Below are 19,156 nucleotides of genomic sequence, written 5' to 3' on the forward strand. Positions count from 1 at the left end.
TCAGAAATTAGAACTATTTTCTCATACATACTAAGTAATTTGCATTTGTTTCCACTTTTAAACACATTAACCACTTTTATTTAGCAATGAGTGTCATGTTGGTCACCTGACAAATGTGTTTCCTAGCTTGTAGACAACTGAAAATCAACCTTTGAATCCCACACTTTCACAGAAGGAATGTGTTCTTGCTGTTAGTTTCTGAGTATGTTCTCTTTCCTATTTGCATTTAGACGACAGATTCTGGAAGATATTTTCTACAAGCCATAAAGTGGGGGTCGTGGCCATAGAGACATTTTGAGTATTATCTGTAGGGAGTTCCTTTGACATATGCAAAATGTATAAAGGATACAACTCTATAAGCCTGAAGATACCTTTTACTAACCAAATTGTTGATTACTGAAGGTAGCTTCAATCCCATTTACTTTGTATAATGAAGATAATACTGCATAGTGTATAAATTTCCCCATTCTGGGATGATATGTGCTATAAAAATGAAAGATTGACAAAGCTATTGTTATTTAAAATAGCAAAGTATAAATACAATGCATAAAAATCAGTGGAAGGAACAATATAAGAGTTGCTGAACCAAATCAAATTAATAGTCCATCTAATTTGATTCTTGTTTTCAGCACTGACCGATACTTAATGCATTGAAAATTAAACAAAATTTATGCACCTACTCAATTGTGCATTGCTCCTTCTGGAAGGAAAATTCTTTCTGCTCCATGCAGGTGATTAACTTATACCCTGAAGCATGAGATTTTATTATCTTTAAATCACGATCTGGGTTTACAGAGCTGCAAATTTTACGTTAACAGTCATACAATGATCCATCCCATTTGCAAATTCAGACTCAATATTTGTCTCCATAGCTCACCATGGCATGGTATCTGTAAGTTTGCCTCATTCTATAAAAAGAAACTGTTTTTTTCAAATCCACTTTCCTTTAATTGAACTAAGCATTGTGCTTCTTTACTACTGACTATGGAAACAGAGAACTTTCTTGACTTAATTCAATATTGTCCTGTTCTGTACGTTAAAAAAAAAAAAGGTTTCCATTTGTCCTTTATAAATTTTAGCACTTCATGAACTATTCCTTAAGGTAGAAACAAAATCTTATATTTGATGTTATGACCTTAAAATCATGAATCTGATTGCCTTTATTTAATAAACCAGAACATAGTTATCCAAATGCCATATCCTTCCAGGTTGGCAATCCTGAGAAGTTGTACACTTATTTCAATAATGCTGCCTTTATTTGGGATATTTGGGAGCTTCCCTACTGGAATTCTCTTCAGAGCCTGTGAGACACTGTTTTACATATCCTCAGACAACTCTTTGTCTTTTGATGGTGAATTTGATTTTTGGAAACAGCTAATAGTCACTTGAAGCCAAGTCTGCGGGTTATATCTGGGTGATGTTTGGGGAAAAGAATGAGGTGTGAAAACAATGTAACAAGATTGATTTTCTAATGTGGCTCATAAACTTTTCCTGACTACAGTTCTAAAAGAGGAGTTTCAAAAATTTTTTGAACTCTGGGAGCAATAATAAAATGAGTTTGCAGCCTCCCAAGGTGACTACTTTGAATGCAACACTCATTTTGGGAATATAAATTCTGGTCTATGTGGTAAAATGAAACTAGTTCCATTGCTCTATAGTTATACATTGTTTTCAGCATAATAATTTAGATCCATGTCTAGGAATTCCCGAGTCTATGGAAAAACTATATTTCCTTAAGCTTTATTTGACAGTCCAACCCCATATGACCTTCAATAGCGTGTAAAATTGCTTAAGATGGGAAGGCCAAGCCTCCATAATAGCATATATCCTTGGACCTCTTTGCAGGGTTCATAAAGATCATTTCAATTAAGAAAACTATAGATGAATGCATTTTTGTTTATATCTAGATCATATCTTTATAAAGAAATGCATCTATGATGCAAAATTTTCCTTTTTAATGTCACTTTTAAAATTTCCTTATATCAAAGTAGCCTTTGATATAAAGACAAATTGAAAATATCATCCAGCTAAATTTTCAATGATATGCAAATCTTTCCCCCCTCCTTTCTATACCTACTAATACTAAAAATAAAATTAATAATAATACTCATAGCTTATATTTATTAAGTGCTTCCTATGTTCAGGATGCTGAGTCATGCTGTTTATTTTTTAAATTTTTGAATTTTAAAAATTTTAATTGTATTGTGATAAGAACACTTAACATGAGATCTACCATCTTCACAAATTTTCAAGTGTACAATCCAGTATTGTTGACTCTAGGTCCAATGTTGTACAGCAGATCTCCAGAGCTAATTCATCTGGTTTGAGGAATGCTTTCTGCCTGTTGATTATTGACTCCCTATTTCCCCCTCTCCCAGCCCTGGCAACCACCGTGCCACTCTTTGAGTCTATGAAATTGACTATTCTAGATACCTCCTATAAGTGGAATCATGCAGTACATGTCTTTCTGTGACTGACTTATTTAATTTAGCATAATGTCCTCAAGTGAACCATGTAATTTGTATAGATTTGCTTATTTTATCCTCATGGAAACCCTAAGATGTAGGTCCTATTATCTTCTCTGTTTAACATTTGAGTAAATGGAGACTTAGAACATACAAGGAACTGCATGAAGATATGCAGTTAGGAAGTGGGAAACCTGGGATTCGAATCCAGATCCACCCGCCCCAGAGACTACAGACTCCTCAGTCTGAGGACTCTCCCAGTATGATAGAGGTGGCACTTTTTAGATGTCCTAGAACAGGCTTCCTGTGATTCCATATGAAAGTGCAGAGGTTGAAGTTGCCTTAGAGGCCTCCAATCCTTATTTATAACATTTGCTTCTGCTTTTAAGTTTCTCTATGGAAAGAAGTTGTTTAACAATTCAAGAGTTTAGCAATGTCCCCTGTTCAGATTAAATTAATCTAATTTGAAATGGAACCTATTTTCTTATTCTGTAGTCAGAGAAAATTAAGCATGAATAATCACCACCCTATGTCTAATGCCAATGTGGACTTAAACACCTTTGAGTCTTTGTTTTCTGGGTTTCATAATCTTGAATCCTCTCTTTTTCTGCTACTACCTTCTAACTTTCGGCCTTCCAGCCAATTTTATGACCTTTTCCAACTTCCCCCTTTAAATGACAGAGCCTAAAATTGAACAAGGTATTTTGGAGTCTGACCAGCACTGTGTTTGCAGCATCCTATGTCCTATAGATGTATCCTGCAATTCTGATATGCTTGTACAGCAGGAGTGACCAGAGCCGGGCAGTTTTGTCCCTGGCTCCACACAACCAGCTGAGGTACCCACCCAGCTGGAATAGCATGGCAGAAAGCAGTGCTTTCCAAACATTCTGCAGGCCCAGATTCCTCTGAAGGTCTCAGCCTCTGTTGGTAGTGGGGGTAGCAGAGTGGGCAGTCGGCTGGACTCCACCCTCAATTAAGTGAGGGCAGCTTTACTCTTAGCTGTTTCCTATGTAAGAGCTGGCATGGAATTTTATGGGAGGTTGTTACCTCGATAAAATGAGGTGCCAGTTTGAAAGATTAAAAACATTTGAGAATCACTGAGGGTAGAGAAAAGCCTAAAGCTCTGCAACAAGACAGTGGGCAGTTTGAGTCCTACTCTGCCACAGCCACTGTGGGCAAGCCATTTACTCTCTCTGCCTAGAGACTGTCTAGAAAATGGGGCTAATTCCTACTGTGCAGGTTTGCTGTGATGGGAAATAGGAACACGTGTAAAATGCCTACCACAGTGTAAGGCACACAGAAGCTACTCTGTAGACGGATGCCATGTATATTTTTGTTACTATTGGAAACAATTCAATATCCTGGTAAGAATGGGCCAGGATTTCCATTGGAAGTTACAAAAGCGAGAATATTTGTTTCCTAGGATTAAGCGTTTTATTTTTGGCAGAGTTCAACGTTATTCTAGCTTGGAGTCATGTTAATTAATCTGCTGGATTAGATGGTATATAGCACTTTTTTATTTTTTATTATTTTTCTGAGATGGAGTATTACTCTGTCGCCCAGGATGGAGGGCAGGTGGTACAATCTTGGCTCACTGCAACCTCTACCTCACGGGTTCAAGTGATTCTCCTGCTTCAGCCTCCTGAACATCTGGGATTACAGGCACTCACTACTATGCTCAGCTAATTTTTGTAATTTTAGTGGAGACAGGGTTTCACCATATTGGCCAGGCTGGTCTTGAACTCCTGACCTCAAGTGATCTGCCTGCCTCAGCCTCCCAAAGTGCTGGGATTACATGCATGAGCCACCGTGCCTGGCTGGTATATAGTATTTTTAAATGGAAGAAGTAATCACTGAAGCATTGTCAATCCTGTGACTCAATTTCACAGGTAGAGTCAAAGGTCATTGATTGCTCTTATTTTTGATCATGTTCTGTAAGAAGCAGCTAATTTTAAAGGATCACTTCAGGCCTTTCAAGTATCATGAAACAGTCCACTTGGATCTGCTATATACATGTTTGTCTCTCAGCACCCAGCCCAGTGTCCGACATAGAACAAGTGTCCTGCAGCCCTGCTCTGGATGCAGAGTATGGCCTAGGGGCGAAGAGGGAAGAAGGAGCAGACTGTGACTATGACATGGCCACAAATTAGTGAAAGGATCTATTGGCCTAGAAATGCAAAGTCATATTTGGGGAAATGAATGCCTTGCCTAGAAAATAGGTACTAAAATATATAGCTCTGGATGAGTAAGTCAAAGTAGCTAGGAAGAATTTAGGAAAATGGACGAGGTGCTCTGGCTAACACAGCTTTTCATGAACAAAAATGACCTTATCAGAGAGAATGTCAATGCTGAATGTCAATGCTGTGCCATGACTCTGAGGCACTGGGTATTTTAGGAGTGCGGGAGAGCACATTGAGAGGACTCATGAGCAGCATGGCCCAGCAGAAGACTGAGGGCAGTGCAGGTCAATGTCAGCCTTGGCCAGTGGCTACCTGCAGGTGTCTTTCCTCTTCAGTGAAATGTTGATAATCAAGCCTACTTCAAGGGATAAGGCCTGAGGATTAAGGGAACTTATGCACGTAAGATGATCCTTTAAAAACGTAAGTCCCATCAGGGTATCTGTCCCTTACCAGAACCCATTCTGTGGCTTCCCTTTGTACTGAGAATGAACCCAGTGCCTTTCAAATGTCCTGCAAGTCCTTCAGGATTGGGCTCCTGCCCATCTTTCCAACTTCAGCTCAAACCACACTCTCTCCATTCACTCAGCTCTGGCCACACAGACCTTTTCAATTCAAGGAAACATTTTGCCACCCTGAGTCTCTACACTTATTGTAGCACTGCCTGGCCAGCTCTTTCCTCTGGCTCTCTGGTTCTACAAGCTCCTGTCTTCCTTCAACCCCCAGATCCAATGTCACCTCTTTAAAGAGGTCTTTGCAGATCACCTAAGCAGATCTCTTGCTTTATCTCCTCCAGAATACTTGGATTCTCAAATCTCAATCATTTATTAGTTTATGTTTTCACTAACGATTTCCCTTGACGAAAGAGAAAGTTCTTCAAGTCTAAGGAAAGGATTTCCCTGTTCTCCACAGCATTCTCTGAGCCTGGCATAGTGCTTGGCACAGAGCACAAGCCCAGGAAGATTGGTCAAATGAATATACAAATGGGGGGTGGGGAAAAAATAGAGCTTGGTTGGCACATGGTGGTTCCTGGGAGTTACAATTATGGAATATATCATGTAGCATTTTCTGTTTGCCCCTTTAAATCTTTTAGAATAGGGAAATAATTTATAACATAGTAAAAAAATTATAATGTAGAAAAAATATGTTTAAATATGACTGGTTATTATTTGCCTTGTCCTAATTAAAATGGAAAAGAATTAGATTTTTATATATGTGATTACATCTTATGGCAGGATAGGCTGGAAAATTTTCTGATGATGTCTAGAAAGTTACAATGCAAATATCCACTCACATACAACATTGGAGGGTCATTTTTTTTAACCTGGAGAGGATGTTTGTAACTTTCCTTCAATTTGTATACACACAATAGATGGTTGTACATAAATAGATATTCAACAGCTCCAGCAAAATTTCTACTGCCAAAGAGAAGAAAAATGTCAGAGTAAGCTGTAAAAAAAGTGCTTGGTTTTTTAAATGTAGAAATGGCAATTCGCAGCATTTATACAAATTGCCGTACACTGCGGGTTGCAACTCTGAAACTGAATAGTAAGAAAAGTTGCAGCTAAGAGCAAATCTGAGGACACTTGTTTTGAAAGTAAAGGCTTAGTCAGTATCACAGCATTCTGGCAATCTGCATATCATTAACTAGTGTGCTTTGTATTGGGATTGAGACTTCATGTATTGATTTGCTCCTGTGTAAAGTGCTCTGACTAAAACTCTATTTAAAATCTTCAAAAAGAATCTGATCTTGGATGAAATAAGGAGAATTAACTTTTTAAAAGCCCCGCTATGTTTTTGGCATAATTATCTGTTAACAATATCCACATGACTATTTAATCCAATGGCTATATTGATCTAATATTTTACACTTTTTAGGTTATAATTTTATACACATTCTATGTAATACATGCAGAAATGTGAGTTGGTATCAACAGAAAATATAAATAGTTTCAGAAGGAATTAGATAAATTAGAAAGTGTGAGATAATACAAAAAAGCTAGAAATTTTAAGGTAAATTATATCTAACTAAAGTTTTCTCACAGTGCCATACCTTAGAAGTAGAACATAAGACTGGATTAGACAAATAGTTTACTGAAATTTCTTATGCATTTGTACTTTGGGCTCTCTTTTCTTCTCTGCATCAGTATATTCAGTATGTATTTTCCTCAATAAAACATAATTTATATAATTACTTTAGAGTTACAATGAGTCTGGATATTTGTGAATGAGAAAAAAAGTCTTTCCTAAGGGGAAATGGGATGAAGTCCAGAGCCCCAGACCACAGTGAACGCAGTAACAGCCAATTTGCGACATGAGATAACAGTGTCTAATGCTTATAGACTCAGTCCATTTCTCTGAAGTTACCTTCTGAAGAATTCCATAACGGGAATTGTATCTTTAATAACATGAAACCAATCAGTCAACTCTTGGGTATTTATAACAGGAAGAACTAGTGTTTAAGATATTCTAGATCACTAAATATTTTTAAGCGGTGTTTTTATTTTCAAACAAAATGATGTGATTTATAAACATTTTTGGGTCCTGCTTACCTCCTAATGCTGCTGTAATGAGTCTAGAACTTAGAGTTGGCATGTCCTCAGTAAAGGCCAATGGCATGGGGGCCTGGAGGCAATTTAAGAAAGGGATATGGAGAAGTAGAAAGTTGGCTCAGGTTGAAGAATGTACTGTGACTAATCCACAAAACCAATCATCCACAGGTGGACAATATTTTAGAAATGGCCCAGGGGATGCTGCTCTGGTCTTTTGGAGCTGAACGAATATTTCCATATCGTATAGCTTTGTTTGTAATTTACTTTTTTTTCCAACAAAGAAGATTGTGCAGAATCGTTAAAGTGATCTTTTATGCCTTTAAGTGACTATCAAAGTCTGCGCCGAGATGGCCACAATCCTTCACAATATCACACAACTGCACGTTACCTTGGATACAAGGCTGGCTCTGTATGCTGCGAGTTGCTTCAGGTACTCCTTCTTCGCAGCCTCGGTTTTCTTTTTATAGACCTGCAACAACAGCAAAGAGTCTTAAATTAGAAAGTGCATTTGCTTTTGTTTTCAGAGAAGTACAATATAGAATGATAACTGCACACACAAACACACTTATAGTTATATAATATAATAATATATATCTCCCCAAAGATTGTGTTTTCTTACTGAAACAGATTTTTAAGAAGTATGGCAATAGACTAGAAAAGAAAAAAAAAGTTAGCAACAGTAAAACTTTACACTTTTACATAAAACATATGAAAGGTTTTATCTGGGTAGATATGAGTGTAGAGGTAGTTGGCTTACAAAGATACTATTGATGAAGGTTCCCAGGGAAACCACATGTGAGTAAACAAGGCATTCATATTTATATAATGGGCAGATAACTCCACAGCACATTCACATCCTGATATATATGTTCCACGCTAAATACAAAAACAAAGACAGAATTTAGAGATGACAAATCATGTTCAATAAGCAAATCAAAGGAAACAGAAGGGAGAGTGCAGGTTCATCACTGAGTTAAGATTTGGAGCCTTGAAGTTCTATTTTCAAAGACTCAGGAAACAGTGATGGTGATTAAGGACACGTTTGGGAGAGGAATGGGAAGCCCAAGTGGCTGTGGATTGCATGCATGCCCTGCCCTGCAGTCCACTCTGGTCACGTCCTTTCCAAGAAAAACACTGGATGTCATGGGTCTGTGGACACCTCATTTTGAAAAGGTAAAAGTGTTCTGAAATGAATTTCAGTTTACAGAAGCTTTCCATTTCTGAGAGGGAATCATCTTGAAAATAAAAGCAAAATCATCCTAAATTGAGCAAAAGTACTGAAAAATGACTTGCTTGTATGCTAAAGGTCACATTGCTAAGTTAAACAGTGAGCAGTCATTAGAGTTGAAAATGAAAGATTAGCAAAGTGAACACACATGGCTCTCTGCTACCATTAAGTTGATTCTTTCAAGGCTTTAGAGTATATTTTTTGGCAATCTTTTGAAATCAGCCTGAAAGATCAAAATATTTTTCATCCTTCACTGTGTAAATGGAAATGTATTTTCATTGATACAGCTATTTTAAATTTCCCACATTTTGGATTTTACAGCAGGGCATAAGGCTTGGCTAATATTTTGTAATGCTGAACTCAAAAACAGACACACAGATCAGTATTGAAAAGTGGCTTCAGAATTAGTCAGAGTAGTTAAATATAAATTATGTCTAAAGACCAAATATCTGCCATTTGGCAGCAGGGGTCAATTTATGGTTTCAAATGCTGACTGTGGTTTGCTGAGCCCAACGCCAGCTATGAAATTCGAGATGTGAGAAATATTGTTTATTCATGAATATTTTAATTAAAGCAGAACATTTTGCTTAAGGTAAACAAATGACTAACCTTGTCAACAGAATTATAACAGGACTGTATGAAATGAATGTGCTAATTTTTCTCCTAAAGTGGGGGGCTTCAGCCTTGACTTCTGTATTTGGCATTTTGGTCTAATAAAAGCCAAGTAAAATAAGGAATTAAGAATTAGTACAATATTATCATATAATCAATGTGCCATCATCCTAAGTATGAAACTAAAGAAACTTTAAAAACTATATTTCAGAGTTTTTTTTTTTTAAGCACAAAGCCAAGAAATCCTTTGGTTCAAGCACAGGAGTATTCTAAATTTACTGAGTTAATTATTGGAAGTCAAATTCAAATTCTTTTTTGGAAATTCACACGTGAAAACAAATAAATGCTAAAGTCGAGTAAGTGCCTTTGAACAGTGTGATCTGTGTATATCGTAAGCCTTGGTGCAGCCATGAAACAGCTCTCCTGCTTTTCATTGATTTATTTTTTTTTGAGAGACAGATTTCTGTTTATAGTTTTTCCTTAAAGCTCTTCTCAAAGACATAATTTATAATTAATGACCTTAAACTGACAATGTTTACATTTGCTTTTAATACCTCAAAACTTTCAAGAGGGTTTTTCTCCCATACAGATAGAAATCCTATTCAGGACTTTGAAGCAAACATTTAGTCAATACGTCTTTTATGGTAATGCATTTTTGTATACCCTAAGCATTTCTATCATGCTTTTATTAATATGCTACTCCAAGTGACTCCCATTCAGCTAACTAGGATGCGTTTTGCTTTCAAAGGCAAATAGAATGCACTTTGGTTCATAGCATTGCCCACAGTGGCATTTTCTAAGTTGTGGCAGATAAGACAGTATTGCCAGATGGTCTGACTACGGCATCTATCATTTTTCTTTCATTGGTTTCTACTGAAACAGCAACAGTGTGACTACGATGCTATCCCTTTGTTGAGCTCCTGGCAGTTAACATCACACAAAGTGTTAACTTTCCTGAAATTTGTTGCTTAACAACCAGGGAAGAAAGGTGGCTAACTCCACATGTTTCAGGCTGCATAGATGCCCCTGGTTTCCCTCCAGAATCGATGTTGTTACGGGATACCTGACTAGCATGCAGAGTCCCCTGTTTTCTACAAATGGCTCCCTATTGGCTATTGATGATTGGCTATGTGGGATCATCGCATAAGTGCCTAAATACCACTTTAGAAAAGAGTAAACTCATCACGTCACATTACATGGATTGATGGATACACTCTTTCCTGAATAGCTGCAGATGTTCAGAGGGAGAATTCAAAGGGGGGTCATTTCAGAAGGTAGATTCCTGTAATTGTGTTGAAAGGGGAGTAGCCTGGACCAGAATTAAAATCTGAGGTAGTCTCCTCAACAGTAATTAGCACCTCAATCTTTGAGAACTACCTGATGGCTCCCATTTTGTACACTCTGTATGTCTTTCTGATGTTACCTTCTAAAATTGGACAAGGATGTTGCTTGAATTCTATATTTAATGGAAATGTCTGAAGAAAGGCCTCAACTATGAATGAATGATAATGATATATAAAAATTCCACATGCAGGTGAAGTAGGGGAAATCCTTTAAAAAAAGATGTTTAAAAATTATCAAAAAAAAATCTCTCAAAAACATTTCAAAGCCTCTAATGATAGATAAAGAAAGTCCTCTGCTTGCAGAGAGCAAAGATGTCCCAGCACGGCATTTGGCAATGAACAACCACTGCCATGAGCAAGTGCACAGACCTTCTAACTGACAAGGATGGGTCTGATTTATGTCAAAGTTCAGTTTAGGAAAGAAATGGTCTCTCACTCTTAGGGAAAGACAAATATTTTAAAGGTATGTGATTCATACAGTAAATATTAGTATTTAGTTGAGTTACAAAATGGCTTCCAAATGGTCCACAGCTGTTTGAAATAAAGTACAAAGTTGGCCAGATGAGGATTTAAAAATCATAATACATCATTTATCATTTTCCCCCACTCATCTAAACACGTTTGAGTTCATCCTGTCCTAACTAAGTTATATGCTGTGGTTTTTATTCCAAGAAAGCTACCATATCCCATCTAAGGATTGCATCTCAGTGGCTAAACTAAAACATATATAATGGCTAAACTAAAACATACGTAGATAGTCATCAAATAGCAATTCTAGAGAACCCAAATCCTGTCACATGATCTAGTGATTCACTGAGGCATTTTTGAAATGCTCTAAATACCAGCATATACACGTTTTCATACGCTTATAATCCCTAATTGAAATCAGCAGTTCAATATCAACGATATGACAAACTCAAACAGAAAAAATTTCCCATACAATCTGTCATTTTCCTTTTACTTTCTGCTTCTTCCCTAAACAAACAATCCATCCAGCTCATATAGAAAAGCAAAATCTTATAAATACCATTTAATTCCTTCTTCCTTCCTTCTTTTCTGCTCTGGCCCTTAGTTAATCTCTAGTCATAGTTTATTTTAACAGTCTTTACAATAATAAGAAGAAAAAATGTAAAATTCTTCCAATTCTGGATTCTATCCAAAAACTAAAGGCATTCTTCATTCTGGGTAAGTTCAAATGTCGTTTTTCCCACTACTATTTCATATTTATAGAAAATCCTTAGAAATGCATAAGGATTTAGAATTTAACCACAATTCCCTGCAATATTTTTTAGAAATTTAAAATTTTCAGCTTCTTTCAAGGCTGTTGTTATTTAGGTCAGTTAGAGCAAGTGCATCTATATTTTATATAGAACTTAGTCCATTTAACTTAATGGTTAAATGTCCATCTTGTATAACTCGCTCAGCATTTTCTTAGGCTCCAAGGCCTTCACAAAGTGGTATTCAGAGGATTGAAAACATTATACAATGTGACAAACATCTTGCTATGGATTCCTTTTGAGGACTGTCTGACCCACGTAAATGGTCTCAGCAACACCGGTTTGACCTGTTTCTGGAATGGTAAGAATCCGAACCGAGGTCCTTGCCTGAAAAAATGGCTACAAAATACATATCTGTTGATTTATTAAATGAAGGTCACTAAGGAAAGTATGATGCTGTTCAGTTATGCTTACCAATCTATTGAGTGCCCAGTATGTGCCTACTGTGGTGTGAGGCACCGATGTTATAAAATTAAAATCAAAAAGTCATTAAAAATTACGCCTCCATTGTGTGCATTTTGCGGATCATGCACTCTATATATTACCTCTAATTCTTTCAATAAAAATGTTGCATTGGCATAATGAATATGGGATAATCCCCGTTTTGCAGATAAGAAAACAGACTAGAATGGGTAATTATTTTACCTAATATATTAGAACAGGTATATGGTAAAACCATGGTGTGAATAAAATGAGTCTGGTGTCAAATGTTCCATCTTTCTTTGCTCAATGGTTTGTCCTAGCCATGAGAACTCCTTTTGATTCTTCTCTCAAGACATACAACTGCAAGGCCTGGTCTCTTTTGTTCACTGCTGAAGCCCCAGCATGCTTGGAACATAGTAGGTGCTCATGAAATATTTATTGAGCATCTAATCCATGGTCTCAGGTTTCTCCTTCTATGAATCAGCATTAGCATGTGTGCTAAGGATGAAACTGAACTGCATGTTCTAAATTACAATGTACATCAATGGAAACAGTGGACTGATATACAGGTATACAATCCACCCAAACATGTTTTTCAATTATAGATAAAGCACAACAGACTTGAAGGAGTATTATGTTTAAATTATTTTCCTGCCAACATCATGGAAAATTTCAAATGAAACGTCTGCTTCCATGGTCTCTGAGCGTATGAATATTTGTATATGTGTAAAACAAATGCTTATGCCCATAAAGGCATGTAAGAATCACATTTATATACCAATAATTGTATATGTGGATATATATAATATATGTAATATATATAATATATGTAATATATAATATATGTAATATATGTAATATATATATAATATATGTAATATGTATATAATATATGTAATATATATATAAATACCTGAATTTTACAAGTATGCTCACCATTTCATATAATAATTTTCATTGCTCAGTTTCAAATTTGTGTGAATATGGACGGACTTTGCTTACATTCTACAGTTTTTAAGTGAGCAACTGTTTTACATATCCTTCACTCCTAGTTTTTAAAAAATTGGGAAAATGCTTAATGTTTATAAGAAAATGGCCAAGATAAACACATGTGTGAATGTTACAGTGCGACAGGATTTTAGTTAACCTTAAGTATTGTTGACATAAAAATCCAAATTTTATCAGAAGATAAAGGGGAAAAAGAAACCCCAACAGCATTATGTAGTGGGTGTCTGAGCACCAATGAGGAGGAAATGATTTGATTCTGTGGGCTCAGAGGATTTGTCAGCTGCCTCATAAGTATAATTCTGGCTCTTCATATCCCTGCTGCTTCTAATTTAGCAGGACAGGCTCATAATTGAAGCAAATTAACTATTTACACTTGCCACTTCTACCAGGGAAGAGGACACAGCAGCAGGAAAGAATGAGTAGGAAATTACATTCTTCCCACTTGTGTCAGATCTGCCCTTATATAAACACATTAACAGTAATTTCACGAGGCGTCAAACATAGGAATAAATACTGAGGAATAAAATAATGAGGTGTTGCTATTGAGCTGAACTGCTATGGCTAATATCCTTGGATATGAATTATGCATCCTGAAAGAAGGCATATGTTAACAGTATTCAAACAGTTTCCCTGCAAGTGAGATCTGCTCATTAGGTTCTGGATCTCTAGGTAAATCCACTCTCCTCTTCCACGACAGGGCTAGCATTTACAAAAATACACTCTGGGTACCGTGGGCTGTGGTTTCTCCTGAATACACTAAACTCTGAATAGGCTTTCCACTCCATTTTTAGCAAAACAGCATGTTTATTTAGCTCTTTGGCTGCAGCTTTAAAGCCATTTAATGTAATGTAAACAAGAACATTTTGTTTGTAATTTGCTAAATGTCTTACAGCCCGACTGTGTCTCCAATTAGGAACTTAAGGTTCATTTAGTAATTTACATCTGGTTCTGATTTAAGGTGACTTTCCTTTTTCACTTAAGAGCCGGCTTGCCGTGGCTAAAAAGGACCCAAGAACACTTTATAGCTCTTTGGACCAACCCTTTCTGCTTCAAAGCGGGACGAGCTCTTTTATTTTGTAGGGTTTTATTTGTTCTATATTGTCACTGTGAACCCAGGTCCTCCACTACAATGACCAGAATCAGAGAGTTCAGAAATAATGGAGGTAAACAGGAAATTTAGCTGGAACCTCATAAAAAAGATGCTGAGGGTTGCTCAAACTCCTAGGATCCTAATACAAAGGGTGTGATATTGTTAACTTATTTTTCTTTCTCTGCAGGTTCCAGTCCGTGAAAGATAAGTAGCAGAGACCAACATCACAGCAATACTTATGTTTTATTTCCTTCTCCATCTGGTGCATTTTAAACAACTTAGTATGCTTCTGAAATGGGCTCTCCATTGTCTTACGAGTCATTAGCATTTAAAACCCCCGGTTGGAATCCCAAACACAATTCTGCTCCCATTCCAGATTCAGTACCATCTTCCAAAGTATTAAAATGGGGAGATCTCTGATATGTGGAGTTTGTTCAGTGGCTTTGGTAGGAATGATTCATAAGGGAGGTTTTGTGTTCCTTGAGGATTTTTATCGCTTCTTTCAGCTTCCTTTTGATTTCTCTTCTTTGAAAGATTCTTCACAGAAACCAAAGTACATATTGTTTCTCACTCACCATGGATTCTGAAAATAAAGATCTGCCCTTCTGCAGTGGCTTCTTACTCCCGCCTATACTCCACAATGAGGAAGCATGTGATATAAACACACAGCAGCTCTATTAGTCATGTTCCCTCTGGCTGTCAAGAAAACATGCAATTGTAATCTCACTAATAGCCGTTTTTCCTTAAATATTGTAATTTTCTGAGGCCCCCAATAAGTCATCAATAATTTTGACCATTTTTCCCAGTTTGTGTTTATATTTGTAGCTGTTCATAATTGTGGGCTATGATGACAACAGGATTTTGGAACAATTGTGGCACATGAAATCTTAGCCTTCCACCGGAACCAGCTGCCTACACAATGCCAACAGCATCACATGGTTGGTTCTGTAACATGCATATTTGTCCAAAATTTTGAATTTTAATAGTCTGCCTCGAATCTGCTCCAGGAACGTTCTTTTAAAAATACATAGCAGTATGTGTGTTCCCCAACTTGAATATTAAATGAGAACAAAACACAATTAATTTAAGCTTGAAACGGAGATATTATAGTATGTTGGCACAATGAGTTAACATAAAGGGAGAGAACAGGTGGTAATCTACTGTTATAACACTTTGGGATATTTTGCTGAAATTTTCTGGATGCCCAAATGTGCATTTCAGGCAGGCACGTTTGCTCTGCCGATGACTCTAGCAAACTGCTAGAGAAGGGCTGCTGTGGAGCAGCAGAGCGGTGGCCCAGCCGGTGCAATGTGCTCCCTTTTGTAAGCAGCGTCTGATTTCATTAATTTGACCCTCTCCCTGCTTGGTTCTGGCACAGGCCTGCATCCAACGTGTGTCCTACACCATACCTTTAGGCATAATCTGCAGCCTCACTCTCTTGGTTAAGCAAGATCATCTTTTAGGTTCACATGATAGGTTATGTTGAACTTCTGTGAAGTCAAAGGAGCATACAGCATGGGGACAAATCATTTTAGAGTGACCAAAACTGTTTTAGTCATCCCAAGGCCTTGTTTTGGTAACTCTTAAACAAGTGTTCAAATTTTAAAACATTTACTTTTGTAAGATAAAAAAATTTATTTCTCTCAATCTTGGCATAATTGTTTTGGCAACTGGATTTTGATTGAGAAACTGCTTTATGATACCAAATGATTTATATAAGTCAACTATTATATAATTTTATCCTTTATAAAATGAATTTGCTCCCCCAAACCCTATTTTCATTGAGAGACAACCCAAAGGTAGACTCATTACAAGTTACTTACTAAACTAGGCAACATATGAAACCTACAAAAGAGAAACATACAAAAGAGAAAGAGAAAAATATTTGCCATCATATATATACAATTAAAAAGCCTTGCACATAATTGTAATTATATCCACATTAGGGAGACCAGCCTCGATTCTGAATGCCAGAATGGGAAAATGGGAGTGATTTCCCTTTTTAACATGACAGTTGAGAGTAGTGAATCTCATATTTTTGGGGTCTGTAAATAACTTTGATGGTTAGACAAAATGAATGCAAAATGCTATCTTAATATTCTCCTCTTGCTATATTAAAAATAAAAAGCCTTAGTGTTATAGAATTAGCGGGAAGAAATCTGCAGCCTGATATTTACTGCCTTGAGGAACTATCTGATTTTCATCATAAGAACATTATTCTTTTCCATCAGAAACATGAGAACAGGGATTTATTTTTTAATATTGACAATGTAAAGAACCAATCGTGGGCTAGGGAGTGCCTTTGCAGACCTCCCTCTTTAGAAATCACTGCTCTTGAATATGGAAAATGATTAGGAAAATGTAACTGGGGTCAGAGGACAGATAAGAGAAGTAAGGTGAGTGGCAGAGCAGGCGATTGATGTTTCCAGAAATGAAGAGTTTGGCAAAGTAGACACTAAAGAGGCACAAACGAGCCTTGAAACAATACTCCTAGTTCAGTCACTAAGTCTTAGGTAGGGAAGAGGGGCTGAGCCTTCACGGGGGAATCATGTGTCTTCAGATGAACAAGAATTGCTGTACCCAATCCCTAGGGAAGGGAATTGCTTTTGGGATGCTTTCTTCAGGAAATTTTGTCTCACAAAGCAACAAAGTTTATGGTACTGAAGCCAGGTGCATATTCAAGAACACACAGAGGGCTTACTGGAGGAGACAGCGAGCTATGTCTTCATATGTGGCGTCATGGGTGGAGCAGGGAGGCATTAAGGTGACATTAAGGGAACAGGGAGGGGGTTGGGATTGCTGGTTGGAATACACTTAGTTTCTCATTCAGTGAGGCTCTGCTGAGTGGAGAAGTCAAGTCACTGTAGAATTCACCCTGATTGTCCAACATCAGTTGGGAACCACACCTCAGGTTTGGCAGGGTGAGAGCAAACTGACCCAAGTTAGAATAGAAACTAGCTTTAAAATTCTGCAACAATATGTTAGGTTTCGATTAGAATCCCATAATACAATGTCAACTACCCTCTTATGGTGAGTGGGTATTTTAATTGAGTGTACAGAGAACGTTTTGGTGGTGTGTTTCCTGTTCTTAAAGAAAACTCTTGCAACACAGAGCTCCATATGGCAGGCCTGTGCTTTCCTAGGACAGCACTCCTTCAGGCTGGCAATCTTGAAAAGGACGTAGGGAAATACGTAGAGATTTCAGATTCTAGAAGACAGCTTTGACTTACAGAAAAGAGAGAATGGAGGGACCTGGAAGAGCAAGTTCTATGTTTCCTTAGCAACTGGTTTTGTCATTATCCCCATCATTAATTTCATAGGGTTTGTTAGGAAAAGCATTGTAAGTTGAGTGACAAGTTTTATTCATGGTAATTCTAGGTACCAGGCATGTAACTGTAGATAAATTATTCAACACAATGGGGGTCTGTTTGTCTTATTCTCTGTTCTATCCTCAGTGCCCAGAACAGTGCCTGGCACATAAGTGCTCAACAAATATTTGTTGAATAAATGAATGAATTTAATTTATATGGCCCCATTTTGTAATCTGCAAAATTTGGGTAATAATTTCCCTGTATATCTATGAGTATTGAGTAGAACAAATCAAATAAATAATGCAAAAGTGCTTTTAAAACTATAAGACACTATATACTTTATAGATGTTAATATATAATATAAACACAATATATAGATCCTTCTAGATGCATAAATAAGTGTGGGCTTTTCTGTATTTATATAATTCCTGGACATAATGAGGAAAGATTGGTGTCTCTAATTAAGAATAAAATATGAGACTAGTTCATCATTAATGCAATTCAGTATTCTGCAATGGCTAAAACTGCACCTACACAGTTATTTCAATCACTTATTTTAATGAAAATGCTTTTAAATTTTTCTTTGTGATGCTGAGATTTTTAGATGGTGACCATGGCCATCTAGTTCCTGGTTTAGAAATGTGGGATCAACATTGCTTCTTTGCTTAGGTTGGCTCCATCCTCTCACTGAACCCTCACTCTGTGACTCCAATCCTCTTTAAGACCTTCTGAGCTATTTATGCTGTGTCCGTGGTATCTCACGTGGCCTTCCCTGAGCATGGTCCTCAGTCACACCAGGGCAATACATGAGAGAAGGAAAAAACCAGGCATCTGGTCCCATTTAACACAGCCTAAAAATATGGTGTAAATACATTTGGGGGATTGAATAACAGCCCCTGGCGGTCTTTAAGGAATGGCTAGGGGCGGAAACCCTTGAATTTGAGGTTCATTTAGCAAAGAGCAAAGAGGGTTTTGATGACAAAATGGTAAATAGTAAGTGCTGAAAAGAGGTGTGGACAGTTTTCAAAATACTTTTAGGACTTTTTTTTCAGTCTTTATGTTCACATTGGCAACATTAAGGAATAAGGCAATCCTGTCTGAGATATGTAAAAGTGCTTCCAAAAGTAACTAAACTATATAAACTTTGAAACAAAGGAATCAACATGCTATTTATGGAGGAGTAATAAAGGAGCATAACATTATGTGAACGTCTCAGAAAGTCTGGTTCGGATGGGGACACCTTCTCAGCGTCTGTTCTGGGATCTAAAGAATTTACCCCAAGCCCTGGGAGGCCATTTCTTCAGACTGCACAATCTCAGCTTATGTAGATTCCCATTCCACTGGGAATCCCTTACCTGTTTTTGCTCTTCTCCTAAACCGTCCCACATTGAAGCCACAATTTTAGAGACTTCGCCAAAGGTAGCGTTTGGATTTTGGCCCTTGATGGCGGCCTGAGTATCACGAAAGAATAACGCATAGGCAGACACAGGCTTCTGGGGCTCATTGGGATCCTTCTTCTTCTTCTTTTTGGGAGTTTTTGGTTTTTTCCCCATATCAGAGGCAGGCCGCTTCTCTCCACCATTGATCTGAAAGAGAAATCAAAATAGAATTATAGGGGGACTGAGACAATTTGGGGACAAGACATATCGTTGTTTTCCTTTGAGACTTAG

General features: G+C 37.2%; 1 protein-coding gene across 1 annotated transcript in view; it reads right to left on the bottom strand.

The window, feature by feature from the left end:
* TOX (thymocyte selection associated high mobility group box) overlaps nucleotides 1-19,156 on the bottom strand; it is a 313,736-nt gene that overhangs the window by 13,828 nt on the left and 280,752 nt on the right. The window contains exons 5-6 of the mRNA NM_014729.3: nucleotides 18,842-19,072; nucleotides 7,583-7,663 (exon numbers count right to left, since the gene is read on the bottom strand). Coding sequence (NP_055544.1) covers nucleotides 7,583-7,663; nucleotides 18,842-19,072 — 312 coding nt within the window. The remainder of the gene's footprint in view (nucleotides 1-7,582; nucleotides 7,664-18,841; nucleotides 19,073-19,156) is intronic.

The sequence above is a fragment of the Homo sapiens genome, chromosome 8, assembly GCF_000001405.40.
Source record: "Homo sapiens chromosome 8, GRCh38.p14 Primary Assembly".
Taxonomy (NCBI): Eukaryota; Metazoa; Chordata; class Mammalia; order Primates; family Hominidae; genus Homo; species Homo sapiens.